This window comes from Homo sapiens, chromosome 11 (assembly GCF_000001405.40).
Source record: "Homo sapiens chromosome 11, GRCh38.p14 Primary Assembly".
Taxonomy (NCBI): Eukaryota; Metazoa; Chordata; class Mammalia; order Primates; family Hominidae; genus Homo; species Homo sapiens.
In genome coordinates, this window is record NC_000011.10 from 87,083,743 (window position 1) to 87,106,226 (window position 22,484).

The 22,484-nt window shown below is 37.0% G+C and overlaps 1 protein-coding gene and 1 pseudogene across 5 annotated transcripts in view; one reads left to right on the top strand and one right to left on the bottom strand.

Annotated features, from left to right (window-relative positions):
• The window catches only part of TMEM135 (transmembrane protein 135), a 290,891-nt gene that overhangs the window by 45,809 nt on the left and 222,598 nt on the right, over nucleotides 1-22,484 (top strand). For 3 of the 5 annotated variants that reach the window (NM_022918.4, NM_001168724.2, XM_017018141.3), the window contains one exon: nucleotides 7,620-7,653. The exons of 1 other annotated variant lie outside the window; for it this stretch is intronic. In NM_022918.4, coding sequence (NP_075069.3) covers nucleotides 7,620-7,653 — 34 coding nt within the window. Of the gene's footprint in view, nucleotides 1-7,619; nucleotides 7,654-13,193; nucleotides 13,215-22,484 lie in introns of those variants that run through there. One more of the 5 variants, XM_017018142.2, reaches the window with a different exon arrangement.
• On the bottom strand, nucleotides 10,931-12,664 carry XIAPP2 (X-linked inhibitor of apoptosis pseudogene 2; annotated as a pseudogene).

The following is a 22,484-nucleotide window of genomic DNA, read 5'->3' on the forward strand; positions in this document are numbered from 1 at the left end:
TTGCTCTAGATTAGAAATTTATTCTATTAATTCCTATGCCTCAAGGAAGTATTTTTATACCTTCTAAAACATTCTGACAGTTAAAAACCCATTATACCTTGAAAGATTTTCTGAGATGATTAAATAGCATTTCTTAATAAGCCATTACAATGTTTAGGAATTTTCACTTTCTTTTATTTCTAATATCTCCTTATTTATAGAACATATAATTATTTTTATATGTATATTTCATATGCATATATAGGATATATACATATTTAGAATTTAGAAGTTGCATTGTTCCTACTGTATTCCCCAGCGGCCTCTTGTGAAGTGTGATATGTAGTATTATTCAAAACTTTGAGGTTAGCTAAATAATATATACACCAAAGCTTCTGGAAAAAAAACCCATTATTGATTACGCATCTAATTAGAAATGATAATGCTGTTAGATGATAATAATGCTTAGAATTTCAGCAGGATGTGTGGATACTTTTTAATCTACTAAGATGTTACAGAACATTTATGTTATTTAATGTTTTCCTATAAGAATGATGATACTCTGACTACACAGTTCCTGTAGCAGTGGTTCTTTTTTTTTTTTTGAGACAGAGTTTCACTTGTCATCTAGGCTAGAGTACAGTGGTACAATCATAGCTCACTGCAGCCTTGATCTCTTGGGCACAGGTGATCCTCCTGCCTCAGTCTCCCCAGTAGCTGGGACCACAGGCATGTGCCACCGTGACCAGGTCAGTTTTTTATTTTTGGTAGAGATGTGATAGCACAGGCTATCTCAAACTCATGGGCTTAAGTGATCCTCCTATCTTGGCCTCACAAAGTGCTGGGATTACATGTATGAGGCACTGTGCCTGGCTGCAATTGTTCTTAATACTTTTTTTGATAACACCCCTGGAGGTGCACAAAGTTGTATGCCGCAACTTTGAGAGATTGAATACCTTCTCCAACCAAAATAAATAGATAAATAAAAGAAGGGAACAATGAGAAAAGCTTATGTGGTATAAAGGAATATTGGACTGCTTATCTGCTGAGCTTTCCCAGCCTTCTAATCTAGTGACTCTCAGTAGAATGGGAGTATAGGATATGGGTATCAGAATCTCCTGTGAAGTTTAACAAGTTACTTATTGTACTTCTTGGCCCCAGCTTCTCCTTTTCAGGCCTATGCCATCATCTGTTCTAATGGGCACCTCCCCCTCTCCATCATTGTATTAGCCATGTTTTAATAGATAACTTGGTTTCCAAAGAGGATTTACTCACCAGTAAGGGAGTGGCCTATTTGTCTTCAGATTTAGGCTAAATATAGTCAAATGTAAAACAATAAATTGGCATTTAATTGACTTCTCAGTTTTTCGTAGTGCTTAACATAACTGAAGAAGTGATAAATTATTGGTCTGATATAGTACAGTTATAAAGTTGACATTGGAACAGAGGATGAAGATGTTGCGTGAAAGAAATCCTGTCAAAGAGTGTGGCTCTATAATCCAACATATCATACCCTTCAGAGATAATATTCTCTCCGGGTCTGAATTCAGCAAAAGCTGTTAAGGAGGTGATTTGGGGAAAGATAAATTGAAATTTTGAGAACAGAATAGGACTTAATCTAATAGCAATACATTCTCTGCTTTTTCATAATAGTAACAGTATGTGAAGGCTTTAGTCTTCCTCAAAGAATAGAAGCCTGTTAGGATGCCATGTTAAACAAGCAAGTGAATTACAGAACTTAAAGATGATTTAGGGCCAGGTGCGGTGGCTCATGCCTGTTATTCCAGCACTTTGGGAGGCCGAGGAGGGCAGATTGCTTGAGCTCAGGATTTCGAGACCAGCCTGGCCAACATGGTGAAACCTTGCTCTACCCAAAATACAAAAAATTAGCTGGGTGTGGTGGTGTGTGCCTGTGGTGCTGGCTACTCGGGAGGCTGGGGTGGGAGGATGCCTTGTGCCTGGGAGGTGGAAGTTTCAGTGAGCCAAGATTGAACCGCTGCACTCCAGCCTGGGTGACAGAGCAAGACTGTCTCAAAAACAAACAAACAACAACAAAAAAGATAATTTAGTAGTGCAAAGATTTTCTGTAGAAGTAATGCATTGGACAGAACCTGAAACTGGAGTCAGATGAACTGACTCTGAATTCCAGCTTGTCTTTTTGTTACTTTTACCTTTTTAAGGAAACCACTTCACTTCTCTGATTCTTGGTCTTCAATAGAGTAAGGATAATGGTATCTGCCTTACACTTCATGGTACTATTGGGTGGGTAAAATTTGATTTCATAATATTGATTATACCTTGTAGATTGTTAAGTTTTATGCAACTTTAAGGAGGTCTGATCACTTCTTTGCTAATAAATTGGTATCATTAATTGGCCCTCCCTTGTCCTAGTGGTTATCTTTGGTGATTATATGTCTATAATACACTTTTTTTCTGTAAGGATTTGTTCTTAGAAATACCTTGTTGGCTATGTCTAGTAATTCCATAATCATTTGTTTAGTGCCTCGTATGCCTTAGGTGTGAGGTATTGATGCAGGATTTTTCTTGTCCACTTTGCCAACTGGAGATCTCCACAGCCAGTGATGCCCCCTGCCCTGCACCCAGGCCTTGCTTAGCCCCAGGCCTTCCACTGGAGGCAGCACCTCTACGTGGCCCGCCTGTGTTATGGCTTGTACCCATGTTTGGCAGTTTCCAGGCTCTTGTTCCGTGTCCAAGAAGAATTAGGATATGCTGATAATTTGAAGGGTGAAGAGGGCAGAGAAGAATTTTATTAAGCGGTGGAACAGCTCAGTGGAGAGGAGACGTGGGGGTGGTCCCCCACCCCCACAGTTTGGTGTTTTTTTTCCTCTCAGTGTGCCTGTGTCTGGGGCTTTTATGGCCTCAGAATAGGGAAGTGCTTGCTGATTGGTTTGTGAGTATGCAAAAAAGTTTAAAACAAAGACTACTCAAAGGTGGGCATGACAGCATAGAAAACCAATTAGGAAAGGGTAGGTATATGTAAAATAGGTGGAGGGTGGGGATTAATTGGAGGAAAGTATGCCAAACAGGAAGGCAAGTTCTTAATCTGGTCTGTGGATTTGACTTGTAGCTTGGCTTTCAGGCTTTAAACTATCTTTGGCTTGGAGGTAGGATTTCACCAGGGACCCACCCCTATCTGCCTAGGCATTTGACTGCCTCCTGCTGCTATCAATTTCCCCTTCTGAAGAGGTACCTCTAATTGCCGTTAGGTTAAGGACGATGACCAGTCTTAACTGCTTTCTGCTGATGGGGGTGCTGTTTTGGGAAAATGGCAGTCATGTCTCTCTTAGAGGCCTATCTAAGGGTCCCCAGTAAAAGGGAGCCATCATTTGAGGCTCCGGTTGCATGACTGTTTGGAGTTTGATGGCCTGAAGGTGAGAAGAGACAAACCAGGATATTAGAAGACATGCATCAAAACAAAACATGGGGGTAAGAACAGCTCAAAAACTCCGAGGCTGCTGACATGCCCAGATAACTGGTGGCTATAGTTATGTCTGCTAAGACCTGGGTGCATGGGGCTTGGTTTGGTTAGCACCTTTGGTCTTATTTTCAAAAAAAAAAAAAAAAACCTTCAGGTTATGGGCACCCCATTTATTCTCACCACTTGGCAGGAGTTGCAGGATAATTGCCCAGAATTAGAGTGTTGATCCAGATTTTTACATTACCCATCCATTTTCTTTCTTCTTAGCTGCAGCCAGAGATCACTGGCTGGTTCACAGGAATAAGCAGGGTTAGTCTAAAATGCAGACAAAACTTAAAAACAACTAATGAGGTGAGAATTTAATGAGAAGTGTATGATAAGTTTTGAAACTTACTTCTTTCTCTCCAGTCCTCATTTTGTTACAAACAAGTCATGATAGGACCGAGTTGTTTGCAGAATAAACTTCAGTGTTATACTCGGCTTAATCATTTGCATCAAGTGTACCAAGAATAATTATTTTCACATAGGCTTTTAAAATTGGCTCTGATGGAATTCTATTCCATACGGAATCTCAGATAAGACTGTTTTTTTTTGAGTTGGAGTTTTGCTCTTGTTACCCAGGCTTGAGTGCAATGGTGCGATCTTGGCCCACTGCAACCTCTGCGTCCTTGGTTCAAGTGATTCTCCTGCCTCAGCCTCCCGAGTAGCTGGGATTACAGGCATGCACCACCACGCCCAGCTAATTTTTTGTATTTTTAGTAGAGATGGGGTTTCTTCATGTTGGTCAGGCTGGTCTCGAACTGCCGATCCCAGGTGATCCGCCCTCCTTGGCCTCCTGAAGTGTTGGGATTACAGGTGTGAGCCACCACACCTGGTTCAGATGAGACTTTTTAAAGCTGAGCCCAGCCATGGGTTTGTACCCTCAAATACCTGTGAATTGGGTAAATTCCTCTCTTCTTGAGGTGTCAAGATAACTTGGGGCTCCTGGACCTGATAGAAAGTGACATTCTTTACTCACCACAAGTTAGGAACCCTGTACAGGAACTGTGTAGACAGGGTATGAGGCCAGTTTCCCCAAGGGGCTTTTATTGGCTCTGCAAGTCAAGCTTAATTCCTTAAGGGAAGCACACCCTTCCAGTCAAAGCCTTGGTAAAACAACCAGTCTCTCCAGTTGTGTCTTGTTGCAAAAGAAAATGGATTCTTATTGCAGTGATACAAATAACTATATTACCCTATGTTAAGAATACTCACAAAGTTTCCAAATTCTGAAGAAACCAAGCAGAAAGAAACAAATATTCTCCAAACTTTGTTCATAGGAGTATACCTTACTCAATTGTTGAAAACTGTAGATAGCTCAAGAGAAAAACTTCCGTGACTCTGAAAAATAAAACAAGGATCAGCAATGTTTTAAGCAAAAAGTTAAAAAAGATTACTTAAGTTTTCTATTAGTTCGGTCTATTCAGTTAACTCTTGTCCTGCTTGATATTCATGAACATTTCAGCTCTTCATGAGTCCTGAATGATTTTCCTTTATTCCAATGTCACAATCTCCAAAGATATTAGAAACCTGCATTTAAGAGCACCTGTCAGAGTCCTGTAGCTGATTATAAACCATTTTTGGAAGAGGATCAAGACAACTGTCTGTGAATGACAAAATGTCCAGGGTAGCTCCAGTCAAAAACACAATTGTCAAAGAGATTTGTTTATTTCTGTGGTTTACAATAACAACATAATAACCTTAGTTATGATTGAGCACCAGCATGATGCCATAAGTGGAAAATTTCACATTTAAGTACTGAACACAAACTTTGTTTCATGCACAAAATTACTAAAAATGTTATATAAAATTGCATTAAGTTGTATGTATTTAGGTTGGTGCAAAAGTAATTGCAGTTTTTGCCAAGTATAAGGTGTATATGAAACATAAATGAATTTTATGTTTAGACTTGGATCTCATCCCCAAGTTATTTCATTATGTATATGCAAATACTACAAAATACAAAAAAATCAAAAATTGGAAACACTTCTAGTCTCAGGCATTTTGGATAAGGGATACTCAGCTTTAGCTCATTTCACCTTGAAATGCATTTGTCAGCGGGGTACGGTAGCACATGCCTGTAATCCCAGAACTTTGGGGTGCCAGGGCAGGAGGATGGCCTAAATCCAGAAACTTGAACCAGCTTGGACAGCATAGCGAGACTGTGTCTCTACAGAAAATTAAAAAATTAGTAGGCATGGTAGTGTGCACCTACTGAAACAAGTAGTTTCAGCTATTTGGGAAACTGAGGCAGTAAGATCACTTGAGCCCAGGAGTTTGAGACTGCAGTGAGCTATGACTGTACTACTGCACTCCAGCCTGAGTGACAGAATGAGATCCTGTCTCAAAAAGAAAAAGAAAAAGAAAAAAAAATTGTCAGGCTCTCTCACAGAAAGTAAAGAAATATTTTTATTTTGGAATTTGTAACATATATGTTTTTTCTTCATATGTAACCAGCTTTTGGTAAAAATGGGTATCCCTTGAGAAGCACTTAACTTTTCTTTCTTCAGTGTATGTGGGACTCTTGGATGTTAATGTTACCCTAATTTTTCTCAGTATAACTTATTTAGAATAAGCAGTATTAGAGTATTTTTGATTTAGAATTTGGTGGGAACTAATGGTGAGAACTAGTAAGAACACTTTCAATCCATATGTAAAAATCATAGAAAAAAGGACATTAAAAAAACCTTATAGATAATCTTACAAGTGATTTTATTATTATTTTCTTTTCCTAACTTTTCAGTTCAGGAGTACATGTGTAGAATGTGCAGGTTTCTGCCATGTTCGTTTGCTGCATAGATCATCCTATCACCTTTACCAGTGATTTTTAAAAATTCTTTTTGTAAGGGCAATTGGGTTCTCTTGTTCTGCTGAAATGCATTAGGATCTGCTGAGGAGAGATTCCTAGGAGTGTATGGCACTGGGTGTATGGCACTGTGGGTCCTATATCCCCTTCCCCTTTTAACCAGAGTAGGTCCAATGTTATATTTTATATATTGGTGATAATGTAAATTTTTTCTTTAATAATTTTTATGTTAAAAAAAGTAGATTTAATAAGTAGATAACTAGTCCCTCAAATGTTCCCTAATTTTAATGACAAAATTACAGAGTCCCAGAGTACCTAACTTTACTTTAGTACTGTTCAGTTAAATCATACTGCCTGCATGTGGCTTTAGGAATATTAAAAATCTTACTAAACCATTTAAAATAATGAACATTCAGGACTGTGTATGAATCGGGCATCAAGAAGATTTCATTGATAATATTAATATGAAGATTCGGCATATTTAAATGAAAGTGATTTGACATTGGTACTTTTTATATATATTTTATTTTCTTTGAGTACTGAAAATGTTCATAAAGGAAACTAAAATAAGTTTTTGTAATTTTCAGAGGTCAAACTCTGCCCTTGAATTCTTAAAACCTATTGAAGACATTTCCTAGAGAATAGAATGTGCTTCATTCATTTCTCATATGCAGTATAAGCTAAGTAAACTGATTAAGGGCAGAAAAAAGTTGTTATGTTTGACTTTCTACCTGAATTTTTATTAAATAAGTTTGGTAAATATGCAGTTTTTCTGTAAAGTGTTCATAGAACTTTTGTTTGTCCTTTGGCATTAGAAAGTTCCCTTAGTGCCTGACTTTTCGTTTAAAATGAAATTAAAACCAATGTGATTTAGTATGATTTGTAATATTATTTAATGAAACAATTGTATTGTGTGTGAAACAGATAGAAGGCTTGTTTTATTTATTTTTTCATAAATTTTTATTTGGTCAGAATTGTTCTTTACATTTTGGCAAGATGAATTAGAATTCTTTATTACAAAATTTAGATTTCTCTAGCATAAACATAGACTAGTAGGAAATTATACCACTCTTGCCAATAACAAATAACAATGGGGAAATAGTAATTTTAAATATTTACTTAATGACTTCTAAGAATATTTAATGACCACAAAACAAGTGACTTTATGGAATTTATTTAGATGCAGCTAAATTTAGGTCAGAGAGAAATTAGTTCGGCATAATTTACCTGTTTTTCTAAGATACCAGTACGTTTCTCAATTTCTGAGAATATAATTCTTTTTATAGACTTCTAATAAATGATAAAGTGATTACTAAGTCAAATTGAAGTTTAATATCTTCCTTTTAAAATTATTTGCAGGAGAGGGCTGCTCACAATTTATATGGCCAACTTGGTAAGTATTTTGTTTTAACCTTTGATGTCTTCCCATAAGCTATATCTTTTTAAAATCAAGTTTTCTTAAAAAAAGTAAAAGAGGAAAGCCACTTGTATTTGAGGATAATCTTCTCTGTGTTAATGGATAGAATTAAATGTTCAAAAAAGCCTTGATACCATCTGGTTTGTTCCATCATATAGGATTGAATTTCACTTATTTTAGAAGGAAATCACTGTCTTGTGCTCTTCATTGCCTTTTTTAAGTTTACGTCTTCATCTCTGATAGGCTGTACTTGTATGTGTATATATCTGTCTCTTTATATCTCTTTATATATCTAATTTCATATTCTGCCTCTGTTGTGATTTCTTATGGGAAAAATGATATAAGGATGGGTTTTTATGATGTATGTTCTTCTTGAATATAAAAACAACATTGGTACTATCTCCAAACACTCAGTGCATTTAATAATATAATTAGCTAGGCTTCCAAATTTTTAAGTTTACAAAAATGAAGTTAATGTTATGTTGTTTGATATTCTTTAAAGTAAATATATAATCAAGTTTATGTAAATTTTATTGCCAAGTTAATATTTTAAAAACATTTACATTAAAATCTTTTCAGGTTGTTTAATAGACTTGATAGGCAACATTAAAAAATTTAACTAGGAAAGATTAATAATTATTTATTTACCTAAGGTTTAGTTCTTGAATTCTGTAACAAGGGAGTATATTTCAGAGTTACATTTAGCAATTCATTTTAGTTATAAAATATTTAGTTTTTGCTCTGTACTTTTGTGTTTCTGTGCTAGATGCTGGTAAACAAGAGATAGCTTTTGCATTCATGGAGTTTTACTCTCTAGTGGGAGAAGTCACGGCAGAAATAATAATGTATGAAAAGGACTGAAAGATGATTTATAGGGTCCTGTGGAAATTATATAGCAGCAAACTATTCTGGGTGTGTGCGGTTGGGTCAGAGAAAAGTGGGTGTAACCCCTTTTGAGTCATAGACCTCTTTGAGAATCTGATGACATATGTGGACATTCTGTATAGAAAACTGCTCATGTAAGGAATGATACCTAAATTTCATTTCAGAGTGTTCATGGACCACCAATTAAGAAAGCCTAGGGTATGCCATCAAGTAAATTTATTTTAAAATACTCCAGAAAATTAGGAGTTCTAAGGACTTTTAATTGTAATGAAATGGAAATTTCAGGACAGCAGGAGAGCAGGATTTCTTTTTGGCATTATTCTCCTTGAAAGAATTCTTACTAGGATGTAAGCTTTTGAGCTTCTAAATAGAGTCTGTCATGTAATAGAGATTTGATAAATATTTGTTGAATTAATGACAATCTTGCTGGGTATAGAATTCTAGATTGACAGTGATTTAAAGATAATCCTTTATCTTTGTTCTCTGTGGTTACTTTTTTTTACTTTTTGTAGTCTGTTGGTTTTACTTTTTAGGTAATCTCTCTTTTTTTCTCAAATTTTTTTTTAAGATTTACTTTTGAAGAATTTATTTTTGGCATATTGGGTTTACTAGGATATAGATTTATTTTTATTTAGCTTGATCAGAACTCAGCTTTTGTAGTCCGAGAATTCATGGTTAGTTCTGGAATTAAATTCTTATCCATCCCCTCTTTGAATCTTGCTTCTCCCCATTCTCTATATTCTATTGTTTTGGAACTCCTTTGAGATACATGTTAAACATTGTTATGTCCCTCTTCATATTTTCTTAATCACTCTTTAACATTTTCCTACTTTTTCATCTCTTTGTGCTGAATTCTGGTTATCTTTTCAGATTTGTCTTCAAGTTAACTCATCTATTTACCTGTTTCCATTTATTTTATTTATTTTATGTTTTTGGTCTCATTGTATTGCCCAGGCTGGAGTACAGTGGTGTGATCACGGCTCACTACAGCTTGAACTCCTGGGCGCAAGCAATCCTCCTACCTCACCCTCCCAAGTAGCTGGGACCACAGGCATGTACCACAATGTCCGGCTATTTTTTTTTACTTTTATTTTTGTAGAGATGGGATGTTGCCTACGCTGGTCTCAGACTCTTGGGCTCGAGTGATCCTTTTGCCTTGGCCTCCCAAAGTGCTGTGATTATAGGCAAGAGCCACTTTGCCCAGCCAATTTACTTGTTGTTTTTATTTATTATTATTATTTTTTGAGATGGAGTCTCGCTCTGTCACCCGGGCTGGAATGCAGTGGTGTGATATTGGCTCACTGCAACCACTGCCTCCTGGGTTCAAGTGATTCTCCTGCCTTAGCCTCCTGAGTAGCTGGGATTACAGGTGTGCACCATCACGCCTGGCTAATTTTTTCTGTATTTTTAGTAGAGACGGGGTTTCACCATGTTGGTCAGTCTGGTCGTGAACTCCTGACCTCGTGATCTGCCTGCCTCAGCCTCCCAAAGTGCTGTTATTACAGGCATTAGCCACCACACCCGGCCAATTTACTTGTTTTTAATGCTGAACCTGTCCAGTAAAAATTCAGTTTGAGTGATGATATTTTAATTTTAAAAAGATGATAAACACCAGACTTAACATAAAATCCAGATTTTATGTTAATTAAATGTTACGTAAATATTCATCTAACATACCTCCACAGTACTTTTTTCCTTCATATATTGGTTATAAACTCCATTCATTTCTTCATATGATTTTATATTATAATTTTCTTTTAAAAAATTACTGAGACAATACTGATTTTATACAAGGAATTTCCATCGTGATCTTTCATTTATTTCTAAAATAATAGACTCTGGGTTTTTAATTGGTCGTGAAACTTTGATTGCTTTGGTGTCACCAGCTTTGTTTGGAGACTGCTTGGAATGTTTGAATGTCAATGTAAACTTTATTCCCCAAAAACCAAATTACATATGGCTAGACTTCCTTTTCAGTTCCTATATAATACTTTTCTGAAGCCGTCACGCTACAGGTTCTTATTATTTGTCTCTCATTTTCTTCTTACAGCCTAGGACCAATTCTGTGTTTGATATATTTCTCATTTTGTTATAATTTTTCAGTAATTTAGAGGTCTTGGAATGAGTTCTGTGCTATTACTGGCAGACTCTGGATCTGGAGCTCCTCATTACTTCTTCTCCCCTTTTTTCAATACTACTTCTTTCAATTCCCTCCGCCTAGTCTTTCCTCTGTCTCATTAGAAATTACAGTATAGGCTAGGTGTGGTGGTATGGGCCTGTAGTTCCAGCTACTTGAGAGGCTGAGGTGGGAGGATTGCTTGAGGGCAGTAGCCCAAGACCAACCTGGGTAACATAATGAGACCCCGTATCTTTTTGCAGTGAAGTCTGACTTGATTCATCTTGTGTCTTTCTGAGCACTCAATGAATCTGCAACCAGAACCTCAGGTGACTTATAGTTGCTCCCAGATGTTTGAATTTTTTCTTCCATTATTTTCTCAATATTCTTTAAACTGAATCCCATTTGTGTAGCTTCTTGTAACATAGGATTTTGAAAGATGGTATAATCCATTCTTATAGTTAGTGATGACATTTTTTTCAGCACTTCTCACCAGTGACTCCTCAAGTGAATGGGTTAAATGGATATTACTTATATATTCTTGTTCTTCTCCTGTAATAGATATTTACACCTTGGATACCACTTAGCATGTTGTTCCCGGGGGTGTTCAATGGGTTTCCATCAGTTAGCCTTCTTCCACAGCAAAAGCATTTTACTTTATCACCTTTACCTAAAGCATAAAATTCAGCTCCTGCATGCTGCTGCTTGTTAACTGAGTACATCCACATCCCCAAAGTAATGATCTGTGCTTCATAATGCTCCATGGATGGATTTCTTCAGAGGATTTGTTGAATTGGGGAAATTCCTATCAGAACTCAACAATGTCAGATTCACTTCAAATATTAACATTCTGGCCGAAAACAAAGAAGCAATTAAGAAAGTGTTGCCTATGTTCTTCTGCCACCAGCCAGCACTATAAGGTTCCCAATTTTTCAGTTTTCTACCACAATAAAAGCACTGCACTTGGTCATCAATACTTGTGTATTAGAGTTCAGCACTAACTCTCTCTCTTGGGGTTAAGTGGGCATAGTTTGGCCAGTTCTGGAATGACTATAGTTGAGCTTCCTCACTATACATGATGGGTTTCTGGGTTTCTTGGGTATATGGTATCTGATACATTTAAGCCTGTCCGGTTATCAAAAGATAATCTGCATGAATCTCAGATGGCCTGCCTAAGGCAAATTGATTACTGTTTCCCAGTTTTCAACTTTGTACTGACCATTTTGGATACTAGGATTTGCAGGTTTTGTGTCACTATTTTAAAAGTAAATGCCGGCCGGGAGCGGTGGCTCACACCTGTAATCCCAGCACTTTGGAAGGCTGAGGTGGGCAGATCACGAGGTCAGGAGATCGAGACCATCCTGGCTAACACAGTAAAACTCCGTCTCTACTAAAAATACAAAAAGTTAGCTGGGCATGGTGGTGGGTGCCTGTAGTCCCAGCCACTCAGGAGGCTGAGGCAGGAGAATGGCGTGAACCCGGGAGGTGGAGCTGGCAGTGAGCCGAGATCGCGCCACTGCACTCCAGCCTGGGCAACAGAGTGAGACTCCATCTCAAAAAAAAAAAAAAAAGCCGTTGGTAATCTGCAATTTGGGATACTTTCTTGTGTCTGCCAACTGTTGAGTCTCCATATTGCCTTCTCTCTACTCCTGCATGACCACTAAAGCACCACATGGTGTCTCCTTCACCAATATAAAGAAAACCTACTTGTGCCAGTGTTGATGCTGAAACAGGACTACTACTTGGAAAACTAGCAAAAGTTTTTTATCCGTTAAACTCTTCTACAAATTCTTCGTCCTTATTGATGTCTGCAGATACACAGCTTTAGATCCTTCAAAACTGTTAAAAGCCATCTTCTCTTGAAAATAGAACTTGTTCACCTTTTCTTAGGTGTCAAAGAGTTTGGAAAGGCAGTCTTGGAGAGCATAAGCTACCCACCCTCCCACCCAGTTATACCTTCCTTCGACAGTCCTGGGAACCCAGTCACGGAGCCCTTGCTGGGTGGGTGCGGCTTTCCTGCCCTCCCCAGCAGCCTATAATATCATTTTATACAGAGAAAATAAAAAAGATATTTCAGTCTTTCTTCTTGCATTATTGATCACATATGCTTTAATAATTATTCATATTTGGAATAGTTAAAACCATGTTACTTAATACACAGTCACCTTTTTTGAATACTGATACAGGTAGTGATTCTCAAACATAGGCATTCTAAAAAATTTTCTGTAGTACAGTTTCCATTGGGAAAAAACCCTACAAAGTTATGTTGCATTTATAATAATTATAATTGTATTCACTTCATTTCCTTGACAGGAGATAAGTTGGATTTTGGCTAGGCTTTGATAAGAGTCAGATCTTCTGCTTACTACATTGCATGTCTGATGATTGGTAGAAGTTTTAACCATCTGTCTTTTAGCCATGTGCATTTTAAATTTATTTCTTTTTCATTACCCACATATTTTCAGGGCTTGGCACCCTAGGATGTATCTATATATCATTATGGCCTCTGGTTCTTCACCTTTGTGTCATTGACGGGGTAAGTTGGCACAGTAGACAGTAGAGTATTCCTGGAAGCCACTCTTTTTTTTTTTTTCAAGACAGGGTCTGGCTCTGTCACCCAGGCTGGAGTGCGGCGGCATGATCTTGGCTCACTGCAACCTCTGCCTCCTGGGTTCAAACGATTCTCCTGCCTCAGTCCCCAGAGTAGTTGGGATTACAGGCGCACACTGCCATGCCTGGCTAATTTTTGTATTTCCAGTACAGACGGGGTTTCACCATGTTGGTCAGGCTGGTCTGGAACTCCTGACCTCAAGTGATCTGCCCGCCTCGGCCTCCCAAAGTGCTGGGATTACAGGCGTGAGCCACCGTGCCTGGTTGCCACTCTTTTAATGAGCCACTAGGAATCAATGTTCTATACCTAAAAGCAACTGGAAAGTAAATTAATGAATATATCATGCTAAACCCAAACTCAATATATCTTGCTAAACTCAACTCTACTAGCAAGCTGGATTCCAAAACCTAGTGCTGTTCATCACAAGGTGAAGTGTGACAGAGAAATCAGAATGTAAAATGATAGTAATCTTAACTATCTATGGTTAAAATACCTTACTTTTGCCAATGTTACCAAAGTGACTATGTGAACAGATTTTGTAGGGCTCTTTTCGAGGTTTGCAAGAAGCCTGTGGTTATGGGGGGGTCTTTATGTTTCTCTGGCTTCCTTTTACCACCACTGTCTGCTTCCTCATTCTCCACTTCAGCCACACTGCCCTCTCTGGTGTTGAGTGAGCATGACAAGCATGCTTTCTCTTCAGGACTTTGATACTTGCTGTTCGCTCTGTTTTGAGCTCTTATCGCTAGATATCTGCATGGCTTGCTGTTTCATTTCACTGAGACTGCTGAAATGTCACTGTTGTGAGGCCTTCCACATCTATCTCACATAGTAACAGTCACCCTTCATGTAACTTATACCCCTGCAGTCCCAAACCTCTGTATCTTTTTTTCATGGAGTTGATCAACATCTAACATGTATCTTTTTTGCTTATTATTTTATTGTCTGTCTTCCCACCTTGGAATTTAAGCTTCATGAATGTAGAGTTTTTGTGTGTTTTATACATTGCTGTATTAAGCCTAGAACAGTACCTAAAATGTACTTTGTGCCATAATTTGTTAAATGAATCATAGATGAATGTGTTTATTAACCCATCTATGCTGGAGGTTGCAAATTTTTTTTTTTTTTGTGAAAAATCAGACCTTGGCGATGACCTTGAGCAGTAGGAAAATAATAACTCCTGTAAGCTTAGCGTTCCAATAATGGAACACTAGGCATAAATGGGTTAAAGAGAAGGATTTATAGGAGACATACCAGATTAAACCTAGATGTTTATTTTAAAGCTTGTTTTAAATATTTTAGGTTGGTGCAAAAGTAATGGTGGTTTTGCTGTAATATTATTTACAAGTAAAACCTTGCTTTATTTGACTGCATTAATGTTGTATTTTAGATTAAAAGATACAAAGATTAAAAGTTGGTGATTGTGGTACATAGATGAAGTACATGACTTATTTTGAACTGCGTGTGAACACTCCTGTTTTGCCAGCTCATGGTGTTGTAATCAGAATCCAGAAAAATAAATAACTTGAAGAAATCATCTACTTTAAAATGATAAACTTAAATTATTAAGTGATAATAAATACTACAACCTGAAAAGAATCTAAAACAATTGATTAATCTTGGTTATAGATTATTTATATTGTATAACAAAGTATCTTATATATATATATATTTTTTTGAGATGGAATCTTGCTCTGTCGCCCAGGCTGCAGTGCAGTGGTGCCATGTCGGCTCACTGCAAGCTCCGCCTCCTGGGTTCATGCCATTCTCCTGCCTCAGCCTCCCAAGTAGCTGGGACTACAGGCACCCACCACCACGCCCGGCTAATTTTTTGTATTTTAAGTAGAGATGGGGTTTCACCATGTCAGCCAGGATGGTCTCGATCTCCTGACCTCGTGATCCGCCCGCCTCGGCCTCCCAAAGTGCTTGGATTACAGGTGTGAGCCACCGTGCCCAGCCAAATATCTTAAATTTTCTTAATGGCTTTGTTGTTGTGCTGCTTTTCTTATGTTTTCAAGAAAACTTTAAAGTATTATGCCTGCACGCTAGCATACATTTGAGTTTTAGTGTATTTTTTTAGACACTCACATGCTTTTCTATAGTAGCACACGCTGTGTACTTCAATACCCAAATACTGTGCGTATTCATACACTTATTTGAAAATTATAAGTAAACTTACTAAAACTTTTGTGTGTTGTCTGCTTTAGATTGTGAATTCCTGGGAAAGAGATCTTTGACTTTGATATTATTGATGTTGGAGAGCACACTTAAAATACTGTATTTAAAAAAAAATTAAAACTTTTATTTTGAAATAATTATAGATTCATATGCAATTATAAAAAATAATATAGGGATCCCATGTTCTCTTTACCCATTTTCCCCCAATGGTAGCATATCGCAAAACTATAATATAATATAATATCAAAACCAGAATATTTAATTGATACAGTCAGGATACAGAATATTTCCATCATAGCAACACCCACTTCTCTCCTGTTGTCACCCCTCCTTAACCCCTGTTCATGGTTTTTAGCTGTTATGAACAAAGCTGCTATAAATATTCATGTACAGATTTTCATGTTTTTATTGGTCTGGGATAAATGCCCATTAGTGCAGTTGCTGGGTTTATATTGTGGTTACATGTTTCATGGTGGTTTTTTTTTTTTTTTTTTTTGAGGCAGAGTTTTACTGTCATCCAGGTTGGAGTGCAGTGGCGTGATCTTGGCTCACTGCAACCTCCGCCTCCCAGGTTCAAGCGATTCTCCTGCCTCAGCTTCCTGAGTAGCTGGGATTACAGGTGTGCACCACCATGCCTGGCTAATTTTTGTATTTTTAGTAGAGACGGGGTTTCACCTTGTTGGTCAAGCTGGTCTCGAACTCCTGACCTTGTTATCTGCCCTCCTCGGCCTCCCAAAGTGCTGGGATTACAGGTGTGAGCCACCAAGTTTAGTTTTTAAAGAAACTGTCAAATGTGTTCCTGAGTGGTGGCTGTATCGTTTTGTTAGGGTTCCCAACGTAGAAGAAACCTTTGAATCTCTAGTTCTTTAAAATGGAAAACTTTTTTGAGGGGGTACATTTGTCTGTAAATTTTAGTATTAGAAAAATTTCTGGGAAAATGCAAAATGTGAATTGGTGTTTTTAGCCATTTATAAATGCTCAGTAATTCAAAACTTTAATGAGATCAAAGACTTGATACATAGATTTTGACTATGTCTGAGGGAAAGTGAATTTGAACATGATCATAATATTTTCTGGATACTAATAATTACCTGATACACTTCATCTTCCTTTTTATCTAAACAGAGCCATTTATTTATTACTGTATAACTTTTACTACATGAAGAGGGTGCTTGTTTCAGAACAGGTAGGGATTTAAAGATTCAGGGAGAACTGAATTCAATCTAAAGAAGTAAACTTTTCTTATGACTTGATTATATTGCTTATGAGACTAAGTTGAAATTGTTGGCTTATAACATCCAACAATAAAATTTCTAAATGTTGTGAGGTTTTATTTAAACAAAATATTTACTGTTTTTTGGTATGTGTTTCTGATTTGGAAAATAAAGAGGAAAGTAAAAGTCATCTGTATTTTGGAGGCCAAGGCAAGTGGATCACCTAAGGTCAGGAGTTCGAGACCAGCCTGGCCAACATGGTGAAACTCCGTATCTACTAAAAATACAAAAATTAGCCAGGCGTGGTGGCATGCGCCTGTAATCCTACCTACTAGGGAGGCTGAGGCAGGAGAATCGCTTGAACCCAGGAGGTGGAGGTTGCAGTAAGCCAAGATTGCGTCAGTGCACTCCAGCCTTTGCAACAGAGCAATACTGTCTCAAAAAAAAAAGAGCTTTAAGAAAAAGAGCCATCAGATACAAGTAAGTTTTGATAAGTTGCAATTATTAGACCATTAGTTTATAGCCTTAACGATTAACTAGCACTTAAAAACATACAAATTGAAGGCAATTGTATTAATACCCATCTGAAAATGTTGCTTTCTTGTTACATGTTAGTTAGTGTGTATTAGAGTGAAAAGTACCCAATTTAAAAAATAGTAGTTTTCTAGATTTTAAATGTTGATAGTGAATTAGTTATTAAAGGTCAAAATGAATGAAATGTATATAGAAAGAAGTATAAAGAGTTAAATATTTTCTCTGGCCAAGATATGTCTCTAAAATTATGAAAAAATTTTCCTGGGGCTAGTATGCCAGAACCAGTTACCCATAAGAGAACACTTGCTGTTAGAATTTAACTTTGCCACAGTATGATTTAAAAGAGAACACATAAGCAAAATTTGCACTTGCATGATTTTCCTTTATTATATCAGTTGTGACAATAACTAAGTTTTCCAATCTTTCAAAATTTATTATATGCTGCTAACATGTTTAAAATGTGATGTCAAATGTAGTTAGTTCACTTACATTTTATTATAAGAAAAAAATTTAAGACATTTAAAAATCCTTCTGTTTGAGTCCTTTTGAAAACTTCTCTGTAATTTTATTTATGCCACCAAACATTTTAACAGTATCTACGTTTTAATTGTAAACATACATGTAATGTATGTTAGCAATTTGTCTTTAGCATTTGGTTTTTAATGTTAAACATGCAGTGTCTTTTATTAAAACATCTGTATTTGATTTTTCAAACATAGGTTTGAAAATGGTGATTCAGCCTAGGCACAGTGGCTCACGCCTATAATCCCAGCACTTTGGGAGGCCGAGGCGGGCAGATCACCAGAGGTTGGGAGTTCGAGACCAGCCTGACCAACATGGATAAACCCGTCTCTACTAAAAAAACAAAATTAACCGGGTGTGATGGCGCATGCCTGTAATCCCAGCTACTCGGGAGACTGAGGCAGGAGAATAGCTTGAACCTGGGAGGCGGAGGTTGCATTAAGCTGAGATCACGCCATTGCACTTCAGCCTGGGCAACAAGAGCAAAACTCCGTCTCGGGGAAAAAAAACAAAAGAAGAAGAAAAAAGTACTTTCTCTTGTTCTTTCACTCAACAGAGAATGATCCCCACAGACCAAGCAGTTCTCTGGAAGCACATTCTCTGGCAGACACCAGCTTAGTGTCCTCTAATTCAATTTAATTCTAATACTGTCTACCTGGAGATAGCATCAGATTCCACTGGTTGAGGGCTCAGTTTCATAAGACTGCCTCCACCTCAGATGCCAATAGAAAGTAATAGTTGTTATCTGTACTTCCAACTGATCAGCTATAAATTGGAGTTCCCACTACCCCCTCTTCAAGTTCAGCTAATTTACCAGAGCAGCTCAGAACTAAGGGAAACACTTTGCTTACATTTACTGGTTTATTATAGAGGATATTAGAAAGGTTATGGATGAACAGCCAGATGGACGAGATGCATATGGCAAGATATGGGAAAAGTCTGACAAGAGCAAATGTTGGTATGAATATATAGGAACTGGAACTATCATATTCCTGCATGTGGGAATGTAAAATTGTTTAACCACTTTGGAAGCCAATTTGACAGTTTATTAAAAGGATAAACATATACTTTTCCGTATGAGCCAACCAATCTACTCATAGACATTTACTTTAGAGAAATAAATTTTTATTTCTTTTTAAGTTATTTTTAATTGACAAGTCATAATTGTATACATCTATGGGGTGCAATGTGATGTTTTGATATATATATGTGTGTGTATATATATATGTATATATATGTATATATATATATGTATATATATATGTATATATGTATATATACAGCATGAAATGATTAAATCAAATTAACATCACCTCAGTTGTCAGACATTTGAAATTTACTCTTAGCTATAATATATTTTGAAATGTACATTATGTCCTTATTAACTATGGTCACCCTGCTGTGCAATATATCTCAAAAATTTATTTCTCTTGTCTCACTGAAACTTATCATCACAACCCCCTCTTCCCTTGGGCTCTGTTAACTGCCATTCTACTCTGTACTTCTATGAGTTGGACTTTCATAAGATTCCACATATAAGTGAGATCATGTGGTATTTTTTTCTGTGCCTGGCTTATTTTAACTTAGCATAATGTCTTCCAGGTTCATTAGGTTGATTCCATGTCTTGGTTATTGTGAATAGTGCTGGAGTGAACATGGGAATGAAGACATCCCTTTGACATACCGATTTCACTTTCTTTGGATACATACTCAGAAGTGGGGTTGCTGGATCACTTGTTAGAGAAAAATCATATGGTATTTTTAGTTTTTTAAGGAGCTTCCATACTGTTTTTCATAATGACTGTATCATTTTACATTCTCACCAATAGTGTACAAGGATTCCTTTTCCTCCAGGTACTTGCCAACACTTTGTTATCTTTTGACTTTGATAGTAGCCACTCTAACAGGTGTTAGGCAATATCTCATTGTGATTTTAATTTGCATTTCCCTAATTTTTAGTGATGTTGAGCATTTTTAAATGTGTGTGTTAGCCATGTTTTTTTTGTTTTTTTTTTTTGTTTGTTTTTTTGTTTTTGAGAAATGTCTGTTCAGGTCCTTTGCCCATTTTTTTAATTGAGTTGTTTCCTTGTAATTGTGTTAAATCCCTTACATATTTTGGATATTAACCCTTTATCAGATGTATAATTTGCAAATATTTTCTCCTAATCTTTGGAATCTGTGGGTTGTCTCCTTTTTTTTTGAGACAGGATCTCGCTCTGTCACTCAGGCTGGAGTGCAGTGGCGCAACCTTGGCTCACTGCAACCTTCACCTCCCAGGGTCAAGCAGTCCTCCCATAACTTCTTGAGTAGCTGGGACTACAGCGCATGTCACTATGCCCGGCTAGTTTTTGTACTTTTTGTAGAGATGGGGTTTCACCATGTTGCCCAGGCTTCCAATCTGTAGGTTGTCTCTTTACCCTGTTAATTGTTTCCTTTGCTGTACAGAAGCTTTTTAGTTTGATATAATCCCATTTGTCTATTTTTGCTTTTATTGCCTGTGCTTTTGGGTTCATACCCCCAAAAAAATTGCCTAGACCAGTGCCATGAAGCTTTTGCCCTATATTTTCTTTTAGTCATTTTATGGAAGAGCTTATATTTATTGTCTTTAATCCATTTTGAATTAATTTTTATATAACATATAGATAAGAGCCCAGTTTCATTCTTTTGCAAGTAGATATCCAGTTTTCCTAACGCCGTTTATTGAGGAGACTTGTTCTTTTCCTGTTTTGTGTTGTTAGCACCTTTGTCAAAAATCAATTGACCATAACTGTGGGTTTATTTATTTCTGGGTTATTTATTCTGTTCCGTTGGTCTGTCTGTCTTTTTTTATGACAGTACAATGCTGTTTTGATTAAAATAGATTTAAAATATATTTTAAAATCAGGGAATGTGATGGCTTCTAGCTTTGTTCATTTTGCTCAGGATTCTTTGGCTGTTTGGGGTCTTTTGTGGTTCCATTTGAACTTAAAGATTGCTTTTTCTATTTCTGTGAAAAATTACATTGGAATTTCAGTAAGGATTGCATTGAATCTATAGATTGCTTTGGGCAGTATGAACATTTTAACAATGTTGATTTTTCCAATTCATGAACATGGGTGTTTTTCTGCAGTTTTGTTTATCAGTGTTTTATAGTGTTTTTAGTATGTGGATCTTTTACCATCTTGGTTAAATATACCCCTAAGGATTTTATTTTTTGTTGTTGCTGTTGTAAATGGGATTTTTTTCTTAATTTATTTTTGAATAGTTGAGTATTAGTGTATAAAAATATTACTGATTTTTGTATGTTGACACTGTGTCCTGCAACCGTACGGAATTTATTTATCAGTTCCAACAGTCTTTTGGTGGAATCTTTAGGGTTTTTAGTGTATAAGATCATACAGTCTACAAACAGAGATTGTTTTACTTCTTTCTTTCCTACTAGGATTACTTTTATTTGTTTCTCTTGCCTAATTGCTCTGGTTAGGGCTTCAAGTATTATGTTGAAAAGAGATGGTGAGAGTGGGCATCCTTGACTTTTTCCTCATCTTAGAGACTGCTTTCAACTTTTCACTGTTGAGTATGATGTTAGCCGTGGGCTTGTCATATATGGCCTTTATTGTGTTGAGGTACATTCCTCTATACCTAATTTGTTGAGAGTTTTATTGTGAAAGGATGTTGAATTTTGTCTGCATCTCTTGAGATGATCATAAGGTTTTCATCCTTCGTCCTGCTAATGTGGCATATCACAGGGGTCCCCAAACCCTGGGCCATGAACCTTGTCAGGAATCAGCCTGCAAAACAGGAGATGATACGCGGGTGAGCGAGCATTATTGCTTGAGCTCTGCCTCTTGTCAGATCAGCAGCGGCATTAGATTCTCATAGGATCCCGAACCCAATTGCGAACTGCACATGTGAGGGATCTAGGTTGCATGCTTCTTATGATGATCTGAGGTGGAACAGTTTCATCCTGAAACCAACTCCCACGGACCCACCCCGCCCTGCATCCATGGAAAATTGTCTTTCACGAATCCGTTTTCTGGTTCCAAAAAAGTTGGGGACCGCTGGCCTATCACATTTATTGATTTCATGTTGAACCATCCTCGCCTCCCAGGGTTAAATGCCACTTGATCATGGTGAAAGATTTTTAAAAAACAAGTAAAAACACTTAAATGGATATATATTACTTGTACATATTTATATGCTACATGTAATATTTTGATACATGCATAGACTATGTAATGTAGGATATCCATCACTTTGAACATTTATCATTTCTTTGTGTTGAGAACATTTTTCCTTTTTTATTTACAGATTTCTGTAGTGTTGGGAACATTTTAAATCTTTTCTTTTAGCTATTTTGAAATATACTGTTGTCAACTATAGTCACTCACCCTACTGTGCTATAGAACACTAGAACTTATTTCCTGTATCTCACTTTATGTTTGTACTCATTCACTAACCTCTCTTCATCTCCCTTTCCCCTACACAGCTTCTGGTATTTATCATTCTGCTGTCTGTCTCCAGGAGATCAACTTTTTTAGCTCTCACATATGAGTGAGAATATGTGATGTTTATCTTTTGTGCCTGGCTTTTTTCACTTAATATAATGATCTCCAGTTCCATCTGTGTTGCTGCAACTGACAGTATTTCTTTCTTTTTTTTTTTTGAGACAGAGTCTCTCTCTGTTGCTCAGGCTGGAGTGCAGTGGGGTGATCTCGGCTCACTGCAACCTCCACCTCCTGGGTTCAAGTGATTCTCCTGCCTCAGCCTC